Here is a 22,421-nt window from a genome sequence, read left to right on the forward strand (position 1 = left end):
AAGGCCTTTTGAGAGCACCAGTCCCTCCACCAGCCAGTCTAGTCCTAAGAGCTCTGAAGGCCAACCTTGGAAGTGGTTTAGGAGGGAAAATGTAGGACCCAGGATTTCAGTTGCCAAGCCGGAGAGCAGGGGACCCAGGAAAGAATATTGGCATTCACTTGATTTTTCCATCTTCTGATATAACCTTCAAATGTTAATAGTGTGTCGAAGAATTTATTGGAAGTGAGAAACAAGAAAACAGTGAGTCTAACCTAGTCATTCTAGAATTGGGAGGTAATAGAAAAGAGAGAAATGGGAAAGTTGCTCAAATGCAAGTCCAGTGAATCAGAGAGAAAAGGCTCAAAGCAGCAGAACAAAGCTTCAATAAAGAGATATTGTGACTTGGAGAGATGGCCTTTTGTCCTTTGTTCTATTACCGGTCAGAGAATGGGGAGCACACCCAAGCCTGAGACAACAGCTCTGCTAAGTGCCCTTGAGAGGGCACGGTGGGGTCAGCACCAAAGCCAGACCACTAAAGAGAAAAAGAGAGAAAGACAGGATTGCAGAGGAGAAATGAGAATGGCAGAAAAAATAATTTTTTAAGCCAAAAGGAATCAGAGAAGAGCAGAAGTGCCTCTAGGATAAAGCGTAGCAGGCAGTTAGGGAAAAAGGGCTGTTAATTACCTTGAAGCTCTGACTACATTAGAAAGCCTCGCAAGACAGTCGTTGCTTGCACGGGCAGGTAGAGAACTTTTCCTGTCCATTGTTCTTCTGAATTATAAATCACTGACCTCTTTATGATTTCTAAAGGGAAAATGACTTCAAGCTTCTTAGAGTTCCCCTAAGGCATTCTCTATATTCAATATAATATGGGAAGCCCTGGGTTTGTCTTTGTATGTTTCATCTGCAGTGACCTGAAATCTTCATAACCCTCTTCCTTTCTCCACTTATCAACTAAGGGGTGGTTGGCAATAAGGATGGGTGGGAGAGAAAAAAAAACAGAATTTGAGGAGGAGAGCATTTAAACCCTCAGACTGTGTGTTCTGTGACATCAAAGACTGGCAACATTCTAAAGGTAAATGTAACTATGCATCCCTTTGGGATTTTCAGATATCTTGTACAATCTATTTTATTCCTCTAAACATGGAGACTATAAAGCTGTGTGGAAATCAATAGTTTAATTCATTCATTCAACAAACAGGTGGTGAGTGCTCATCATAACAACCACATCTAATAGCTAACATGTTGAATGATTATCACACATCAACTACTATGCGAAGTGCTTTTCATGGTTTATGTCATTTAAGTATCACAAATAATACTATGAGATAGGTGCTCTTGTTATGTCCACTTGACAGATGAAGAAACTGAGGCCCAAGTCCCAGTCCTAAGATGAGGCAGAGCTATGTTAGAATTCAGGTAATATTACTCAGGAGGCCATGTATTAAACCTCTTTATAACATATCCCTGTATCATATCTGCATTAGGCATAGAAGACTCAAGGGTTATAGGGTTTCAGAGAAGGGAAGGGCTGAAGGGAGTTAATTAGGACAGGCTTTAGGCAAAAGGTGATACATGATGTTAGCTTTGAAGAAGAGGCAGATTTGAGTCAGCAGAGCGTGAAATCAAAGGCTCCCAGGTAAGGAATGGGAAAGCACGTGAGTGTAGTCCAAAGTCAACATAAGACAAAAGGCATTGTAGATAATGAGGGGACAATTTCGACCAGAATGGTGACCCTATGAGCAGTAAAATAAGTCCGAGAAGATTGAGTTAGCCATTGGAGAGAAGTGTCTGACATGTTGGTGTTGGAAAATAGAAAATCTTGGTGGTTTTCTTAGTCTAAGCAGTGTTGAAGGTAACAGCAGTGGTACACAGGATGAATTACACTAATAGAAAGCCTGGCACCCAAGGATTTCAGCTAGGGTTTGTAGAAAGATAGAATTATATGAGATGTGTTCTAAAGCAAAAGTGATAGGACTTGTTCTCTGTGACATATTGAAATAAAGTATATGAACTGATTATACCAACAATAACTAACTTTATTGAGCATATACTGTGTCCTATAGTGGTTTACATGTAATCATAGATTAATTCTCATAATAGCACCACGATTTAGAATTAAAGGAAGGCCCGTTCTAATCCTAGGATTTCTTTCGTTATCTATTGAAGACAATGAAAACAGTAATTCTTTAAATAATGTTGTGTTATGGGGGTATTATGATACCATTGACAGGAGTGAAATAGTTTGGAAGTTTAGGAGCAGAAAAGGACAATTTTGACTGAAGGCAAGTAAACCAATCAGGGGCAGTGTAACTCATTAGGTCGTCATAATAATAACTATTGTTATTATTATTTATTTTGATTCGACTATGAATCAAGATGTCCTGCAGATACCAAAATCAGTGGCTGCTCAAGTCCCTGATATAAAGTAGCCTGCCTTGACTACCCTTCTTTTTATAATTATAATTATTATTACAGCTAATTACTGCATGCTTATTATGTACCAATGTTCTAAACATTTCACATGCCATAGCTCAGTTAAGATAGTAATAATTATAGTGTTCACTATTACAATAATAAGAGTTTATATTTACAGTGCTGATAGTGTTCCAGGCACTGATATGTTTTTAAATAGATTAACTCATTTAATCATCACAAAACCCACATGAAGTAGATACTAATATTCTACCTTCACTTTACAGATGAGGACACTCTGGTCCAGAGAATTTAAGTAACTTAACCAAGATCACAAAACTAATGATTGGCAGTGTCAGGATTGAGCCCAGATTCTCTGGCTGTAGATTCTATTCTCTTAACAACTGCTCTACAAAATCATGAGCTTTGGGGTCAGGCAGGTCTGGGTTGCAATCCCAACCTTGTTAACTTACTACTAGTGAGAACTTCGGTATGCTCCTTTTTTGTGTCTAAGTCTCAGTTTTCCCATAAGCAAATTTCAAGATAAGATAACAATAGTACTTTTCATGCAATAATTCCTATGAGATTAAGCTCTCCTACCCTTCTCTGTGCTTATTACATTGCTTCAAAACAGGAAGTCTTCGGTGTGTGTTTTACTAATGAATGAATAAATGAATAAAGCACTTATCATCCATGCTGCACAATTAACATTTTGTTGTATGCTACTTTATATTATTTAACTTTTCTGTGCATGTACTTTTCTTGTCAATCCAGCTAGATTATATGCACCCTAGGACTAAACCACATGCTTTTTACTTTAATATGTACCCAGTTCTCTGAACAGTGATGTGCACATAGAAAGCTTCTCAATAACGATGACTCCCATGAATGAAGCATTTACTATGGCCTAGACATTGTGTTAAGTATTTAGTCTTCATAGCGACCCTAGATAGTAAGTACTAATGTTAATTCCAATTTACAGAATAGGAAACTATGCCTTAGTGAGCTAAAGTGATTTTCCAGTGGCCACACCATTAGTCCATACAGAGTCAGATTAGATTGAGCTCTACTTATCTACAGAAGTCCTGGGCTTGATCACCATGCTGTACTAGCTTGGTGTTAAAGCCCTGATTGATGGGTAATTTGACAAGAAGTCAGAGCCCATTATCACCTGCCTTTGGAAGGGAATTTCCTGCATCTGAAGTTCTTGTCTATTTGGCCCACTTGGCTCAACCACCTAGTTCACGGCTTTTCTGTAGATTTCTCCTCTTAGCACTCCCTCAACAGGCACAAACCACATATCCAAGTCAGGGATGCCATAAACAGTGGCTGCTGCTGTGGCTGGCCCACAGAGCATGGAAGCAGGAATACTCATGAGCCCCCTCTGTCATCTCAGTATATTATGGCTTCAGCATTCTCTTTGCTTAACAACCTCTGGCTGATCCACTGTGAAAATTGTGTGCAATAGTCTTCAAAATTTCTAATTTCATACCTGTGGTGAAGTAGCCTTGCGGCTGGTCAAAGAGAACACCTTTAAAGCTGACAGTGGAAAAAGCCTTGGCTCCTAACCTTCTGCAAAACTGTTTTTACTACTTCATGCAAGCTGTTATTGGTGTCTTTATTTAGGCTGTATTTCTTCATTTCAGCGTCTATGTTTAGCAGTTATATAAAGGAGCGAAATGGGTTTAATGGCCTCAAGTGGCAAAGCAGTGACATGTGGTCCTTCTTGGAGCAACAAAAGGTCAAAAGACTGTGGAGGAGACTTCTTGTTTCCTGGTGACTAGGAGTCAAATTTCTTTTATCTGTCTGAGTCAAGGGGAAATGATGTTCCTTTGAAAGTCTCATCTTGTAGGTAGAGTGTAACAGAGTAGGAAGGTAGGGAAGGTTCCTTAAAGGGCCATGCAGATAATCTCATCTGTTGATTTGTCCTATTGTGGGTGATACAGACTCACATTCCCTTTCTGGAGAAGGGAGGGTTTTAATTAAAACTAAATAGATATCCACTGGGTCTGGGTATGTACATAATCTAGAAACTGTGGGCTTCTCAAGGCCTCTGCATTCAGCATCTCAAGAAGTCCTATGGGTACCAATTGATCCATCCTGGAATCACTCTCCTCTGCTTGCATGGGACTTGCCTTTCTGCCCTCCTTCCTTAGCACTCCCACCAGGCTAGGTATGAGCCCCGAGTAAGGAGCCCTGGTCTGATTCCAGCTTCTTTCTCTTATTGACTCTGTGATTTCAATAAGATATTTGACTTTACAAGTTCTGCGTCTTCATCTGAAGACGGAGACTATAATGAAAATACAAACCTTATGGATTTATTGTGCAGAGTAGAAGGACAAAGTATACAAAATGCTTTGGATAATTGTTATCTAACATCAAAATTTAGGTTCACATACCTGATGCACAGTAAGCCAAACACTGACACATCAGCATAAATGTTTATTCAATTTGGCCAAAGTGAGAGGGCAGGAAAGACAGTCTCTAAAGTCCAACCTTCCTTTACACATAACTGGGGGCTTCTATGAGTCAGGTAGGTATACAGGAAATGGGATACCCCAAAGACCAAAGCTGTTTATGTCTCTTGGCCTGATCAGACTTCTGGATGCCATCAAGGTTTGTGTGACCTAAGGTTCATTTTTCTTCTCCAAAAAAAATACAGTTTATCAATCTTGCAGGCCAGGGGTGTAAGGATATGAAGTTACTAGTGACTACCTTCTACCAAAATGACTATGTGCAAGCAAGCATGCATGGAGGCAGAAAAAGGCAAGGAAAAGAGAAAACTAAGTAAAACAAACATCTTATGATTCTTATAATAAAGACTCAGTTACACAATAACGTTGTGCACACTAAAATCCCAATGAATGGGTGCTGTTAGTATAGGCAGCTGGCATATTTTTCCCTAGACCAATCAGTCTTGTATTTCTGTTTCAAGGCAGCCTGCACAGATTCTCCAAAGCAATTCTCAGCTTATTCATAGTAGAATCAAAATAATCAGGTGAAAGAAAAATTTATTCATAAATTCTTAATCAAAGCTTCCGCTGTACCCACCCTGAAGCAGTATGAGCACTAAAACCATCCTATTTCTTTTTATTATACTTTAATTTCTAGGGTACATGTGCACAACATGCAGGTTTGTTACATATGTATACATGTGCCATGTTGGTGTGCTGCACCCATTAACTCGTCATTTACATTAGGTATATCTCCTAATGCTATCCCTCCCCCTTCCCCCCTCCTCATGACAGGCCCCGATGTGTGATGTTCCCTTTCCTGTGTCCAAGTGTTCTCGTTGTTTAATTCTCACCTATAAGTGAGAACATGCGGTGTTTGGTTTTTTGTCCCTGCGATAGTTTGCTGAGAATGATGGTAAAACCAGCTTATTTTTACCATCTATTAAATGGGACAAAAACTTCAATACTTCTACAGTTGTTGTATACAATTAAATAATCTTCTAAATCCGATTGTCCCTCCTTCTCTTCTTCTCCTTTGATAAACAACACACCTCTCTGCATAGAGCAACAGAACTTCCTTTTGATTCTGGCCCACAACTTCCTATGTACACCTCGTTTGTAAAGAAGCTCATCTAAAGTCAACCAGCAAACGATGGGCCCTCCAACTCTGATAGCCTGTCACCAGCCCTAAGCTGCCAGGCTTCCTTTGAGTGTCTGTCATTGGTGAGATATAGGGACGTGTGACCATTTTGCCATGGCTCTATGTTGCTGAACCAGGTGGGGGTGTGAGTGGCAGTGGGGCAAGTGGATCCTTTTGATCATTAGTTATTTTTGAGTATTGACTTTAATTTGTAAAATTTCCCATCTTAATCTCTGCCCTAGTCTCTAAGCAGATCCCAGGGCATTGAGGAGAGTTCAGGTATGCCAGCATGTTTTGGTGTTTTTCCAATGCCAAAATAATATTTTGCCCACTGAATTCACAAGTGTTTTAGATGGTCATCCAGTTTTTGTATTGACCCCTCCTAAAGAGGTAACAGTTATCCCTTGGTATCAATCAAGGCATGGTTCCAGGACCTCCCTTGGATACCAAAATCCATGGTTGCTCAAGTCCCCAACATAAAAAAGGTGTAGTATTTGCATATAACCTACACACCTGTGTGTATATTTGCATATAACCTGTGTGTAGGTTCTCCCCTTTCCTTTAAATCATCTCTAGATTACTTTTAATCCTAATACAATGTAATTTCCATGTAAATATCTGTTACACTGTATTGTTTATGGAATAATGATAAGAAACAAGAAGTCTATACATGTTCATATAGATGCAAAATTTTTGAATATTTTCAAGCCATGGTTGTTTGAACCTGTCATGTGGAACCAAGGGATACAGAGGGCTGACTATATTTTAAAAAATGAAAGAATATTCTTTGACCACAGCAGGGGGCTACTGGCATTTGGGGATGGGGACAAAAATGTTAAATACTTTGCAATAAGAACATTAACACACAGTGAAAATTGTCATGTCAATGCTCCCTTCGTTGGGAAAGCTGCAATTAGTTATACCTTTTCTCTCTCCTATTAGAGAAATCAACCAAGCCAAGCCTGAGTATCTCAGAATCAGCATCCTTCAGACTCAAATTTGAGTCCTGACTACTCAACATCTATAAGCGTTAAGCACTTACTTTGTCATTCAATACTCGTTTAATCTCCTAAAAGAACGGCAAGCTTCTTATTATTGCCCCTACTAGTGGAAAAAATAAAGCCAGAGAAAGCAAAGATTCTAACACTGAGCCCAGCACAAGTCTACCACCTTATGCTGTTTCTATGACGTTAACTTTATAGCATGATCTGGATTGCTAAAAATGTTCAAGTTTGGGCCTTATAACAATAGAAAGAGGACTATATAAAACTACAGTAAGACTAAAAGTAGCTAAAACATATTACAAAAATAAAAAACTGGAGTACCTCGATTATATACAAAAGAGCCTTTGAAAAATGTCTAGGTGAATTTTTGTCTATGTACCTATGTTGACATCACAAAATAACAACTATCAATTCAAAACTCATTCCTTCTATATGTTTTTCTCATATCGATTTTAATCAAAAGGCTTAACTTGAATATTAATCTTTCATGTCCTCCTTATCTATTTGACCCTCTGGAATACTGCTGAGTAATGTGGCATTCACAAGAATATTACTGTGTCCACTTAAGTGATTTAAAATGTATTCTCAATAGCCAAAGTGTCCTCCTGACTCTTTGAAATTCAGCCATCCTATGTTTCAGATGGCCTTTCACTTGGGCTTTTAAACCACTTTACAGACATCTCTTTATTCTCCTTTATTTTATAAATTGGGAAATAGATCAAATAGAAGTTAAGTGGCATATAGAGGTCAATGGCAGATTACTGGAAGACCCAGGGAAAGGTATCACCCTTGACTCACCTAGAGTTATCCCTCAGATAATTTAACATTTCTTCAGAAGACTGAGGTAGCCTCTGAATGTAGGAGGCAGACTAAAAGATTATTTTTTTTCATGAGGCTGCCTCAAGCAGATTCACATTTAATTGTGATTCAACTGGCATCTCCTTTCTTGCTGCCACAAAATATCTATATTGAAATCAGGTTGACTGTTCATCTTTTCTTTCTGTTACGTCTGCTAGGGATCAATAGAGATAAAAATATTTGGAGCTTTGTGTTCAATCTAAGTTCCTGCATGCAGTTGCTTGATAGAATGATTTTGTAAGGAAGCAAGTAACCAAAGTATTTTTGCAGTGTTTTTGATAAAGGACTGCTCTTTGCTGGTGTCCTCCTCTCCACTACTAATTGACAAAACATCTTGAGGAAAACATCCATATGTTTAAATTATCCTTAAAAGCTCTATTGGCATTAAAAAAAGACCTCCGTTTTGATAAAGATTCCAATAACTATTTGGCTTTTGCAAGTCCAGCTTTATGACTAGAAATTTCTAGATCAAGAGTCTGCAAACGATGGTCTAGAACCAAATACAACTGCTGTCTGTTTTTGTAAGTAAGGTTTTATTCGAATACAGTCTTGCTTGCTCATTTAAATATTGTCTAGGCTGCTTTCATGCTACAATGGCACAGTGGAATAGCTGGGATAGAGACTATATGGCCCGCAAAGTCTAAAATATTTACAACTTCACTATTTACATAAAAATTTGTCAACAACTGTTCTACATTAAACAATATATCAGCCCTGGCAGATGTAACTGGTTACCTTGAGTATCTCATAGCATGTATGCAGTGTAATTTTCAAGTTCCCAAACAAAACTTTCCAAAAGCCATTTCTTAAGACCACACACTGTAGAGTCAGATCCACCAAGTTTTGAATTATCTGAACAGAGCTTTGCAAATGTCAAACCAGTATAGTAGATGATGACGATTTTGCTGAAAGATCACTCCACTTTCATCAGGGGAAACAAGCTATTGGGAATATATTTTAGGACCTCAATTTTCCACACATTGCTCTAATTACTAGAGTGCTATAGATGCATATCTCTGATTTACAGTCCGCCAAGTCAAGATTTCTGAATTTCTTGGCATAAGTTTGGTAGTACAGTATTACTTTGATTATGGCTTCTTATATCTGGCATAAAAATATTCCCTTTGTGCATATTCTTTTTAGATACAGTACAAAAAAAAGTATGACTCTTCCTTTTTTCTCTCCCTTTACTTTAGGAAAAGCAGCTGTGAAGTCATAATTATGTTCACTTCCCACTGGCAACTGGCAAGCCCTTTATTTTTGTGCATTCGGAACTCACCAAGAATAAATAAAGTCCATTCCCTCCTTGAGGGGCTATTCTGCCATTCCATCTAGGATTTAAAAGTTTGCCAATTCCTAAAACATCTATTGTTATCAATAGTCTTGTGTCTTTCACAAAGCGGACTTTACAAAATAAGGTAAGGGGAAAAATGTCAAAAGTACATGAAAAAAATCATCTCTAAGAAAGAGCAACAAATCTGCTAGCTCTTAAGAACTTATAATTATCATTGCTGGTTAATTGGTATTATAGATTACCCAGTTCTGACATGTAATTTTCTAACACAAAGAGGTTTCTATCATGTTACATTGTGCTTTGCATTTAGGGACTTTTTATTTTACATTTACACACTAAAGAACGAAGGGCAGAAGTCTTGAAATATGCAAGGATTTAGATAATGAATTGCATCCTAAATTTAGAAAATATATCAGACAATACAGATGATTCATTGTAGAATTTGTAATTCTGGAAAGGCAAGTTTTGGGGACCATTGTTTATAAATAAGCTAACTTTTATTGGCTCAGATCTGGATAAGTACCAGAAGCATTAACGAACATTTCTTCAGCTGCACACGGACCTTCAAAAAGTTCTAAAACAGGGTATGTTATTATGTTTTACAGGAAGATGTGTTTAATATTTGTAAGTCAATATGGATAATAACACTGATTTAAATGGACTGATAGATGCATTTGTCTTTTAATGTCTATTATAATAACAATTGCCAAAAGCCTATGAAAAATTCAACATTTACTTGTTGATTAGTCTGTTTTTGATTCATATATGCAATTAATTCTTAAGTGAAGTTTTTCAGAGACACTAGCCTCTCCTTAAAAGGCAACCATGTTCACTTGAAAATGTGAACAGACTATAGATTTGAGATTCTGGCTTCACGCTTTGTCCTGGGAAGCAACCTTGGATTTGGAATTTAATGGCTTCCTGGCTATCTGGACTGTGAAGAAATGCTTCTGAGGGGAGACAGATGTTTGTCTGAAACTCTATTGTTTAAAGAGCTGGACTTTGTCTGTAACAGCAGGTATGAAGATCAGAAAGAAAGATTGGGAGCCCAAATGAAGGCATTAGTACTTTGTAAACATAGACCTCATGCCGCAGTCTGGGTGGATTGATGATAATGCTACAAAGAAAAATGCAGCAAAGGAAACTTAGGAATGAACCTAAAAGACACAGTGTCTTAGTAAACTAAAACGAAAGTAAAAGGAGACCTTCAAAGCCCACTGCTTGTAAGATGAGCTTCTTTTTTGAATATTATTCCTTAAAGGACACCACACACACCCAGGTGAACTCATGGAATTTGCATTAAATAATTGATAACTTTTTGACATTTATTTGAAGTTTCCTTCCAGGAAAAAATGGTTCAAGTAGCACTCTGGCATTATTTCATAATTAAGCAGCCTTTTGCATGTACCATATGCAACCACCAAATCTAAGGTCCTGTGTTATGTAGCCTTTCCAACCTTTCTAAATCTCAAGTTTTCAGTAAATTTAATGTTTTCTTTAGAGAAAAAGACAGTGAGAGACAGGCAGTGTCCATTTGAACTAGCAAATAGTCTGACCAGATGACGAGTCTACTAGCTCTTCTAGTAGCTGCTGCAACCAGCAACTTAGTGGGGGCAACATCCTCAGCCATGCCACGTGGGCTTTGCCTGAAGACAATAGATAACAGCCAAGAGGCAGACAAAGAAAATATGTGTAAAAACAATGGTAAATAAAGTAAATAAAATTAACGAATTAGATAAATGAATAAAAATAAAGAGCAAAAGCAAATGTCAACATGCATCAATTCCCCATCCAAATTACATACCTCATGTAATTTTTGTAAACATTTTGTAAGATTTACCTTCTTGATTTATCAGCAATCATTCTGGTTTGCAATAAAATAATACCTGTAAGTGGTTTAATTGGAACTGCTGCCACTGCTTGAGATTTATGAATTGGAATATTACATGATAATCCACAGGATCACCTTGCTTTCCTATTGCTGAAGTTTGCCTCAATTCTTCCTTCCATTCATTCATTTACTCAACAAGCCTCCATTGAAGGTCTGCTATAATTCACATAGGGGTCCCCCTCCCTTAAGAATTGCAAATTATACATGCAAGAGAAAATATTGTTTTCACTTTTTAAAAATTATTTCATTTCTATTTTTAAAAAGAGATTGTTTTCAGACAGATGGGCTACCCTGTACATTTTTTACTTTGACAAGTACATTCTGCAATGTTTTGTGGGAGAACTGAGTTTATCCTTTTGTTAACTTCAAAAGGTCAGGTATGTGCCTCAATCCTCATTTGTTTCTATTACAAACATCTTAGGAATCCATAAAGTTATATAAACTTTCAAATACTTTGATATTTGATGAGCAAATCTATGTTCATTCTGTTCATAACCTTTATGACATACCAAACACCAACCATTTTATCTCCAAATTCCACAAATGAAGGGGTCATTATCACCCACCAAAAAGCGGTTTACAAAGATTTTAACAATGTATAAACAATCTTGCTTGAAACTAATGAACTCTTACAATCTTTCTGTCTTTTTTTAAAATTTTTGCCATTACTTGTTAAAGAAAGTGACCCTATTGGATCGTGTTTTCACGTAATAAATTTTCTGCGAAATTTACTGTTTAGTCCTTGGAGGCATATTACTAAAAATCAAATTGGATTTTCTTCTGAAAGAAGGTTACAGAGTGTGACTTCATGAGTGGAAGTATGTTATGGCTAAAGAGCCCATATTTCATGCTGTAATATAGCCAAGTTACATTGGTATATATATTCCTTGGCCATTGAAACAATGTTAAACAATATTTTTCTTTTGTCTAAGATACAGTTAGTTAAGCTGTCATTAAAAAATAAACAAATTGATAATCAGAAAAAAAAATCAGAGCAAAGCAAGCTGTCAAAGGTTGGCTGTAAATCCAGCACAAGGTAAAATGTGGCTATTTTAAAAAGGGCAACTTCTTCCTAAGATAACTGTTTTTTTTTTTCTCTGCTTAAAATAGTCATTGAGGGATATTCAATTGGGACCAGAGAAAGGGGAAGCCAGAATCATTCATCAGGCAGATACTTTGTGTCAGTTATAAACAGTATATTTCAAAATTAAGTATGAGAAACTCCAGGAGGAGATTAGACATGAGGAAACAAGCTCAGTAAAGCTAAGAATCTTGCCTATAGTCATCTGTGCAGTAAGAATACACTATGACTATTACAGCTAAAATATCTTTTTAAATGCCAGGTATTTTCTATTCTAATTCTTAGAACAAATTAGAGAACTGAGATTTAGAGTGGCCCCCTCCTCTGCCTAAAAGCACTCCAGATCTGGTCATTTAATCTCTTTGGTATGCCACTTGTCCCCAGGGAACCAAACTAACAAGTTTTTCTTCTGGTGTGCTCTTTAGCAAAAATGTAGAGTCATCAGACATTAGTGTGTTTGTTGCCAGCTTCGTGTGTGTGTGTGTGTGTGTGTGTGTGTGTGTGTCCCTCTCTCCCCTGCACTTCCAACTGATTTAACTTTCCACTTGTAGGTGGGTGTAGCTCAGAGAAGATCAAGAAATATTGCACTCCCTCTACTCAATATTGTGGAACAAATTAAAACATGTTCAATAGTTGTGTACCTACAATAGGTAGGAGAGCTAGGGGCTGGGGATTCAAAGATGGCAAACACAATTTATGCTCCTAAGCAAATACACAAGCTCAGCAATGGGATAGACAGGATCAAGTAAGACTGAATGTGCTGTGCTATAATTTGGGCACAGATCACATCCTCTTAATGCACAAAGAAAGAAAGAACTCCAACAATGAGAGGAGAATGGATGGGAGGGACTGAGGCAAACTTCCTGATGCCTGTAACATTTGAACTGATCTGGAAGGATGATTATAAAGGATTTTAATTGACAAAAACAATGGTGGAAGAGACTGCATGAGCCAGTGCAGGAACATTCTTACATTCTAATTATATTCTTATATTCTCATATTCTCACAGGACATTATCTTTACCAATGTTAAATGATTAAACTAGGTAATAAACAAGGCACACAATGATCAAAAGAAAGGGGCTCTGGGGATGAACATTCTGCCTTTAATCACTAATGGTGTGGCCTAAACTGTGGGGATTAACAATGCTCTGTAATACCCCTAACTATGCAATGGGGATAAGAAGAACCTCTCCTCCACCTGGGCATTCTTTATTGTTGTCTTCATAAAGACTTAGGTGTATGGAAAATTGGGCCCAGTGACTGACATATGACAAAGCACTTGAAACATGATTCTATTTTTATCATTATTAGTTCTACCAATAATAATTATATACAATTAATAGAAATAATTCGCTTCCCCAAAATCAAGAAGATAGAATTTTAATATAAAATAAAGTTTTAAACTAAGGATATTTTTCTTCACTAGTAGAATTTTTGACTCAGCATCAGCTGGCAAAACGATTTAGGAAAATTAAGGAAATGTTCTAGCATACTCCAAATCACATGATGTAGTTGCCTACATATTCCAAAGGCTTTCATTCTTTGCTCATTGGCATCCATATTTCCACAGAAAAGGTTTGCAAGCTCAGGGCATCATGCTAATGTCTAAGACATTCCATCACCATTAAGGGACTTTAAAATTATTCCTAGTGACAACAATATGGTTCTTTGTGTTATTAAGTAAATCATGGAATAATAAGAACAGGAAGAACACTATCTCGTTCACTAAATAAATGATCACTATCATTAAAGAGCTATTAAACCAAATTCTATCAGGTATTTTTTTAAAGATGTGTTCATTCTTTCTACTCACTTGCTAAATAAGAAAGAAGAAAAGCTCAAGAGTCTTTAAGCAGAAGCTCTGTTCTGCAGCTCACAGAATGGATTAACACCAGCTGGAAAAATCTGGGGAAAGTAGGCTAATCCTTGCTAAGTTGGTGGCCCTATCTAGCTGCTGCAGAAGCTGCAGCATCTGGGACTGGCTTTTACTCCCAACTGGCTTCACCCTTCCCCTATAACTCTTATCCTAATGTTATTCAAAGAGAATTCCATCATTTGCCCTGATATAAGCATCAGGCACACAAAGTCAACCCACAGACACTCCTGCCTATCCCTAGAAATTTTGAAAGCTCCAGTATCTGTTTAGCACTAGTAAATCATTTCCTGCTTGGTCAATCCATATTTTACTTTGCGTATACAGCCTCTACTTTTATCCAGTTATATTTAATTAATAAAAATAATTCCTGTCTTCCAACTATACCAAGGAAAATTTCTTCATCACACCATTTTAGAACATTTATTTACAACATACGGAAATACAATTATATCTTTAAGTTAACAACTTGTAACTGAGATAAGAAGGCATTGCTTCTCTGAGTTTATTTTGTTAGAGCTGTTCTTTTTTTTTTTTAAAGGAAGCTTCTGCTCAGAAAATGTGAAAGAAATAATCTATCTCAAGACCTTGCTGTTCTTGACTGTTCAAAAATTCTTTAAATAAAATATAATATGGAAGCTGTGCTCTGCATGTCGAGACCATTTCACTGTTGAGCCTTCACAGCCAGAAAACAGGCTCAAAATAATTAGACTTGAACAAAATCACATTATTTACTTTTTGCTTTAATAAGGAGGTGATTATTAGAAGATGAACCATGACTACCAAGATAGCAGGTATAGATTCTTTTTAACAAAATTAATTTAGATTATATTCACTATCTTAAGATACTTATGCACATAAATCATATCTCTCTACGTATTTTTGCATGAAACATAGAGTATATGAAATAAAATGAATGCAATGAATAGAAATTTAATCATATATTTACCTGAATTATTAGATTATTCATAAATAGCTTATTAGAGGCAGTAAAAGTCGACAGAGAATGATTGCAATAGGCAGATGTGATGTAAGTCTGTGATATTTTAGAAGAAATTTTCCTGTAAATCACACATGAAAGATGCAGCCACTCATGCTGGACAACTGCCTGGTGTTCCCAAGAAACATAGGGACAACCAAAGGGCACCTCAGTAAGTTTATACTGGACCATAGATAATAAACTCATCAACAAACACCAGATTTTTGTTCTGGAGAAAAAGATGAAAGCTTTTGAACAGTACTAGTCATCACCAAGGAAACTGTGGTGGAGTAAAAAAATTTTAAGAAGATATCAACATTGCAGTAAATCAACCTAACCTGGAAATGTGTTTGGTGACAAACTGAATTTTCCTAGGTGTCGGCAAACTAACTCTTTTAAGGCCCCACTAGGGGCCTTAAGTGATCTACTCCCCAATTCTTCCATAGATGCACAAAAATACTAACTGATCTATTCATTGTGTGTCTTTAGAAATGCAGACATTTAATGGGTTACGAAGCTTAACTGCTAGACACATTCATTAGATGTGAACAGTTAATATGTAGTCATTTCTGTTGGCTTCTAAAATATCCTCATCACTCTTTTGAGACATAGCAGCTCATCCTAGGCCAATGATATCAACCATGGCTGTACTGTGAACTGTAATCCAGTATCTTTCTCTCAACACCTCCTCTCTTCTCAGCTAAGGGTGTTGTATATTGAAGATGCTCTGCTTTTCCCTCTGACTTTCATCACTTAAAACTTTGTTGATTTCACCTGAGGCAAATTGACAAATATTTTTAATCATCTTTCACCTTTCTTTCTCACTTCCAACTCTTCTCCAATTGCCTGACTGAAATTTCTATTCCTTTTCCTGTTTTTTTCCTACATATTTCAGAAATGGCCCTGATTTGAGCAGAAAATATTAAGAATAATGCTAATAAAAACACATTCATGTTTTCAAATGTAATTAAATTTTAAAAAAGTTTTATGCTCAAACATTTCTAGAAATATCCTAAATTACATTTCAGAAGTTTTATAAACTATCTCAGCTATTTCTTTTCCTCTTGAAGTGAATATTTTATCATCATACATATTCAAAATAAATAAAATACTATGTTATTCAATTATTATGTTACCATACTACTGCTGTTTTAGTTCATTCAGCTATAACAAAATATGACAGACTGGGTGGCTTATAAAGAACAGAAATTTGTTTTACACAGTTCTGGAGGCTGGGAAGGTCAAGGTCAAGGCACTGGCAGATTTGGTGTCTGGTGAGGGTCCACTTTCTGGATCATATATAGTGCCTTCTCCTTGTGTCCTCACATGGTCAAAGGGGTGAGGGGTCTCTCTTGAGCAGGTTTTATAAGAGCACTAATCTCATTCCTGAGGGCTCTGACCCCATGACCTAATTATCTCCCAAAGTAACCACCTTTTAATACCATCCCCTTGAGGGTTAGGATTTTAACATATGAATTTGGTGAGGACACAAACATTCAGACCATAGCAATTGCCTTTTTCTCATAACATATAAACTCTCAAACTATATTATATGGTAATTAGACTTTAGAAATTAGTTTTAAAAATCTAACTACAATGTTCAAACAACGAATTCACTAGGAAACTTTTAGAAAATAACTGATTTCTAAGTTGGAGACATACTATGTAACTGTATTAAGTCACAAAGCTCAAATTCAGTTTTTCTATTTGACTTCAGTGTCAAGATTCTTCACATTTTGCTAGGCTACTTACTCTCCATGTTCAAGTTATCTCTAATGACTATATCGAAATAGAACACAGATGAAAGCAAAAATAGAAACACAGATGAAAGCAAAAATAGAAATTGAACCACAAACATGAAACAGGTAACAAACAGAAAATGTCTCTGAGAAATGCCTTATAATTCTAAAATAAATTTGGAACTAGATTTTTGCAGAATACTGCTTAAGAAATTAAATTGTAAAACATAAGGGAATCATTTGAATAAGCCATTAATAAGATTAATGGAAAATAATTTATTCTCATTTTATCTCTAGATGCCATGTCCAGCCAAATAAATGAGACTGAACTTCATGGTTGTTGTTTTTACTTCATCCCGGCAAAAGAAATGAAATTAAATATAAAAAGCAGATGACCAAATAAAGTCCAAATGAATTAAGTATTGCTCCTAGTATAACTCACAGTTAATATAAGTTGACTATCCTCTCTGTAGACAACACTTTTCATCAACATTTTTCACCATACAGCTAGACCTCAACTAACAGTCAAGTGTCAAAAAAATGAATCACTTTAGAAACCATCTTAATAATGAGACAATTGACTTCTGGTACCCAATTTAGAACATCTACAAAAGGAGTGGTGAGCAGATTTCCACTCTGATGCAAAATCTTATTCGTTGGGCATTGATAGCTGAGTGCTGTGTTAAGGATTCTGAAGTGGTAAATCACAAAGAATGCTGTCAACACACTTAGTAAATAGTTAACACAGGACTTCTCTAGTATTAAAATTCATAATAGTGGCCAGGCGCAGTGGCTCACACCTGTAATCCCAGCACTTTGGGAGGCCAAGGTGGGCAGATCATGAGGTCAGGAGATCGAGACCATCCTGACTAACATGGTAAAACCCTGTCTCTACTAGTCTCTACTAAAAATACAAAAAATTAGCCAGGCGTGGTGGCGGACGCCTGTAATCCCAGTTACTCAGGAGGCTGAGGCAGAAGAATGGCATGAACCTGGGAGGCAGAGCTTGCAGTGAGCCGAGATCGCCCCACTGCACTCCAGCCTGGGTGACAGAGCGAGACTCTGTCTCAAAAAAAAAAAAAAAAAAATCATAATAGCAAATAAATGGCATTCACGTTATACCATCTCCTTTTTTGCTCATGGCAAGTAGTGTAATCCCTGCCAGAACATGGGAGGAGACAATGTAACACATGTGCCATTCATTTACTCAGAGGTATACAGTGTCTTTCCTTATGTGTTACCAAGTTTAGGCTGTCTGCACCCCTCTGTGCACTGTTTTTTGGAGACTGTTCCAATGTCACTAGGTAAGATGCTACCCCCTGTGATATAGCAAGACATATTTTGTGCCTAGAGTTACAAGGAAAATCTTTTTTTTTTCTATAGAAACAAGACTAGGCATGACAAGTATATGTAGTTTTATTTGTTCAACAAATATTGAGATAATACACTATGGTTAGTACTGATGTATATACTAACCACAGTGTATTATCTCAAAATTAGATATGTATACAAAGTTGACCCTTGAACAATGCGAAGGTTAGGGAGGCTGACCTACAGTACAGTCAAAATCTGTGTATAATTTTTGACTCCCCCAAAACTTAACTGCTAATAGCCTACTGTTCCTTGGAAGCCTTGCTAATAACATAAACAGTCAATTAACACATATTTTGCATGTTATATGTATTATATACTACACTATTACATTAAAGTAAGCTAGAGGAAAAAATATTAAAATCACAAGACAATATATACTCACTATTTATAAAGTGGAAGTAGAGCATCATAAAGGTCTTTATTCTTATCACCCTCACACCGAGTAGGCTGAGGAGGTGGGAGGAAGAGGAGGAATTGGTCTTGCTGTCTCAGGGATGGCAGAGGCAGAAAAAAATCTGCATAGAAGCGGACCCCCTTTGTCCAAGCCCTTGTTGTTAAAGGGTCACCTGTACGTCTAATTTTACCATAGTCTTTTTGATGATTTCAGGTTTAATATTGAAACTTTGGCTAAAATTCACCCATGGGAAAAATAGAAAGTACCATGGATTTTTATATAAAAGGAGTCCTGGCTATACTATTTACAAAGCATGCTAACATATCACTTTTCTTCTCTGAGTCTTCACGTTTTCTGAATATCAAAGGTTTCAAACTTCAGAGAGCTGTATGGGACAAATCAAATAAGACATTAAAAACGCGTTCTGGAGAGTAAAAATGCTAGCAGATACAGGTGTCTCAACTTACTTGTTACCTTCCATTTCTGTCCCCTACTCACATTGCTTTCTTTTCTGTAATTGTGTTTAAAGCTGTCCAAAGAGACTCTCCAAATGCTGGGCTCTCTGTCTGGAAGTTTCAAATGAGGCTTTTGGATGTGCATCTTTTTCTCTGAGGGTAGGATTGGGGCAAGAAAGAAGGTGATTTAAGTGTACTGGTTGCCTGGGTGACAATTAACTGGGTATTGCTTTTAGGGAGTCATACAGAAAAATAGAAAAGACCAGTAAAAAATGCCATCCTAGTTTGAATGCTGGATGTAGTGAAGGGGGTTTTGATGAAGAAACTGTTGAGGATCAACTGAGATTAGAACCACTTGGAGAATTAAAATTTTAATAAGGAGGCATTACTTTAAAGTGAGGGGAGGGATTTATCCTAACTGATGCCTTGTTAAAAAGAATAACACAGAGTAAATAGTCCTAAGAACAATTGCAATCCTTTGTAGTCTGTAATTTGTAATTGCTGCACATAATTTCAGTTAACAGGCCATAAGAGGAACAGTCACAAATACCAAGAAAGGTACATACGGAGATAATTCCAACCAAGGTGAGCACAGCCTACACATAAACAGGATGTAAGTACCGCAAGTCACCAAAACTACACTCAGGAGAAAGTGCTCGTTATTAACAGACAGTGGATTAGTTTCAATATCTACACCAGGGGTCATCAAATAGGCCCACAGGGTGGTCCTGGATTTGCAAACACAGCTTTTTGTTGTTGTTGTTGTTGAGATGGAGTTTGGCTTTGGCTTTTGTTGCCCTGTTGTCCAGGCTGGAGTGTAATGGCCCGATCTTGGCTCACCACAACCTCTGCTTCCCAGGTTCAAGCGATTCTCCTGCCTCAGCCACCTGAGTAGCTGGGATTACAGGTGTGCACCACCCTGCCAGGCTAATTTTGTATTTTTAGTAGAGACGGGGATTCTCCCTGTTGGTCAGGCTGGTCTCAAACACCCAACCTCAGGCGATCCACCCACCTCAGCCACCCAAAGTGCTGGGATTACAGGTGTGAGCCACCACACCCGGCCGCAAGTAGAGTTTTACTGGAACACGGCCATGTCTCCTCATTTGCTATTGTCCAGTTGCTGCTTCCACACTACCAGGACAGGGCTCAGAAGTTGTGATAGAGATTGTGTGGCTGGAAAAGCCTAAAATATTCAATGTTCTGGCCCTTTGAAGAAAGTTAACTGAATCAATCTAGACTGTTACACTTACAGTGAAAATAATTAAGGATTAGGAGTTGGAAGGATAACTCAATAATTCCATTCATTTGTGATGTGTATTGTCATTATTTCATTCAATCAGCAAATAACTGTGATAACATGTGCAAGGAAACATGGGAGATGCAAAAGTTTAGTAAAGCAGGTATCCTGCTATAGTGGAGAGAGCTCAGGACTATGCAGACCTGGGCTTGAAACCCAACTTGAATGGATTAAGTGGCTTTGAAGGAGTTACTTGGACTCTCCTTAAACCTCAGTTTTCTTGATCATTTCACATCATCATTTCATAATCACGATCATTTTCTATGGGCATATCTATTCAAAATCTCTCTATCAGATCCCCCAGTCAATATGGAGATTGTGGTAGGCACCAAGACAGGAAGGTGTGATTTAGGATCAACTGGATTTATAATTTTAAAAGAATTTATTTATATGACTGATGTTTTGTCTGGTGGAGCCTGAAGTAACTATGCAAAATATCTTTGTATTATTACTGCTTGTTTATGTTACTTATATAGTTATATTATTTCCCAATCAATTTCATCTTTTGTATTTTTCTCTTCAAAAGTTTTGGGCTTTACAATCTCAAAACACATTTTCATCATTCACATATTTAAAAAGTGACTTTTTTCAGAGTTTTGTTATTGAAGCAGTGATACAAAACTGGTTGACTTTTTTTCTGGGGCAGAGGAGAGAGTCACCAAGTCAATTGAATTAATCATTTACCTCACCACCATATATACCAGACACAGATAAGACAAACTGACTTTTATAAAATCCCTGCAAACCCATCATTACAAACATTAACTGGGTCAATTTCACCTGAAGGCAGGATTACTCTTTCCTATACCAATTTTGGATTTCCCAGATTAACCCGTTTTTTGTTTTGTTTTGTTTTTTTTAAGAAGTGTGGCATTAGCAACATATTCAAAAGTCTAAATGCTTATAAGCTGCTTTGAAAAACACATTCAAAAGTAGAAACAAGGTTTTAGGGAAGCAAAGATAGGAAACATGAATGAGGGTTTAGTAAACATAGCATAAGACACTTGTTATCGAGGCAAAAGGATTAATTGAGCAGTAACATCATCAGCTATGGTTGGACAGAGGAGTGGAGATACCAGAAGTGCTATATCCCTGCACAAATAAGGAATCTATTTTCAGTTTAGACTCCAAGCAGGAAGATACTGCTGCTGCCTCTTGAAGTACTTCGTTCTTTTTCTCTGAAGCTTGAAAAGTCACTTTACCCAGGAGTGGTGAATCTGGGGTGCTGTTTCTGTACCTCTTCACGCAACTTGATTGGCATATAAAGATATTGCTATAGGTCTCTGGGTACTTCAGTTTCTATTGCCTAAAATATGCTTCCAAAATTAGAAAATATGAGCTTAACTCTCGTAACAGCTGAAGAAGAGCTTACAACCTTAGAAGACATAGCTCTGTAATTCTGAAATAACTCAAAAACTATTTTAAAATTTCTTCTTCTCCAGTCTTCCTTCTTCCAACACATAACATTTTCCCAAGGGAAGGCTTGTAAAAGCTTCTCAACAGAGAAAACTCTTAGGAAAGAAATGGAAAATTATAGCCATATCAATGAAACCTAAAAATCAGGCAAAATACATAAAAGGGAAAGAGATGTTATTCCTCCAGATTTATACATTCACATCTTAACTGATGAAAGCTTCTCTGATAGAAGTCTGCCCTGACCCCCTGACATGACATAACCTCCACAGTCATTTTTTTCACAATCATTTCTTATATTCTCCTGCTTTATTGTCTTCATAGCACTCTGTCACTATCTGAAATAGTTGTTCTGCTTGCACCGTTACTGACAATTCCTCATCCCCCATTTCAATGTAGACACTGAAATCAGAGCCTCTTCTCCATTTAGCTTAGTGTCTAGCACATACTACACATTGAATAACATGTGGTGAATGAATGAATGAATGAGATGTTCCATGGCAGAGTTCATCTCCCACCTCTGGTTGATATTCAGTCCCAGCAAGGATGTGCAGCTATCAAGAAGTAAGCACACACTCCAATCTTACATCTTTGGGGCATTCTTCTTCGGACTGTTGCAAAAAATTTCCTTGTAATGTATACAGAGAGCAACTGAAAACTCTGAAACTCTAACGCATTAGACAAATATAGATCTTTTAATGAATACTTTTATTTAATAACCAGAATAGCCCTTAGGTATTGTCTAATTCACAGCCCTTTATATAGCAATGGAGAAATTA

General features: G+C 37.1%; 1 long non-coding RNA gene across 1 annotated transcript; it reads left to right on the plus strand.

Moving 5' to 3' along the window:
* Positions 1-330: 330 nt before the first annotated feature.
* Positions 331-17,153, plus strand: LOC105375358 (uncharacterized). Its single transcript, XR_927687.4, has 3 exons — positions 331-1,054; positions 9,047-9,268; positions 17,007-17,153. It is a non-coding gene; the product is annotated as an uncharacterized LOC105375358 (long non-coding RNA).
* The last annotated feature ends 5,268 nt before the right edge of the window (positions 17,154-22,421 follow it).

Source organism: Homo sapiens, chromosome 7 (assembly GCF_000001405.40).
Source record: "Homo sapiens chromosome 7, GRCh38.p14 Primary Assembly".
In the NCBI taxonomy this organism is placed as follows: domain Eukaryota; kingdom Metazoa; phylum Chordata; class Mammalia; order Primates; family Hominidae; genus Homo; species Homo sapiens.